Source organism: Homo sapiens, chromosome 1, assembly GCF_000001405.40.
Source record: "Homo sapiens chromosome 1, GRCh38.p14 Primary Assembly".
Lineage (NCBI taxonomy): Eukaryota > Metazoa > Chordata > Mammalia > Primates > Hominidae > Homo > Homo sapiens.
In genome coordinates this window covers 150,995,681-150,996,535 of record NC_000001.11, presented here as the reverse complement: position 1 = coordinate 150,996,535, position 855 = coordinate 150,995,681, and the positions used below count along the sequence as shown (strand labels likewise).

Here is an 855-nt window from a genome sequence, read left to right as displayed (position 1 = left end):
GATCTGTTGTTTGCCTTACCCTGAAGCAATAGGGTTAAGTATTTGACCCAATTGAAGAATGCAAAAAGCGGGAGGTGGGTCAGAGGCAGGAAGGTGGTTACCTGTCATTTCTTTTTTTCTTTTTTTTTTTTTTTTGAGATGGAGCCTCGCTGTATTGCCCAGGCTGGAGTGCAGTGGTGCAATCTGAGCTCACTGCAACCTCCGCCTCCCGGATTCAAGCGATTCTCCTACCTCAGCCTCCTGAGTAGCTGGGACTACAGGCATGCGCCACTGCGCCCAGCTAATTTTTGTATTTTTAGTAGAGACGGTTTCGCCACTTTGGTCAGGCTAGTCTTGAATTCCTGACCTCAAGTAATCCGCCTGCCTTGGCCTCCCGAAGTGCTGGAATTACAGGCGTGAGCCACTGCGCCCAGCTACCTGTCATTTCTAATATAGCCTGCAGGGGGAACCAAAGCCTGACTTTTTGTTTTTGTTTCTGTTTTTGTTTTTGTTTTCTATGGGAAATAGTGCTCTCCTGGGAGGTGGGTTTCCAAATCTCTGCTTGGACACATGAATTTGAGGGTTGTGCTCTCCACTAACCCAAGAATTCCCATGCTGGGGAGGGTAGCTTGGCCCTCCGCTTGCTTCCCAGTTCATACAGATGGTCCTTTGCTCCCTCTATTTCTCACCTTGTTCTAATGCCTGTTTCTCAATTATTTTGCCTGAAGTTTCCTGGAGAATGAGGGTGAGGGGAGACCTGGAGTGGGAGACCTGGGTGTGGATTACTGTAGCACTAAGGCAAAACAGGATTCCTGCGGAATAGCCAAGTGCACATCAAAGGCACTTCCAACTCCAGTGCCTCTTCCCGGTCCATGT

At 48.9% G+C, this 855-nt stretch overlaps 1 annotated feature.

Moving 5' to 3' along the window:
* Positions 341-560: an enhancer, noted in NCBI's record as "active region_1700". NCBI's record gives its function as "activates an Ori minimal core promoter by ATAC-STARR-seq in GM12878 lymphoblastoid cells {active_cell/tissue: GM12878}" and the evidence as "EXISTENCE:reporter gene assay evidence [ECO:0000049][PMID:35858748]".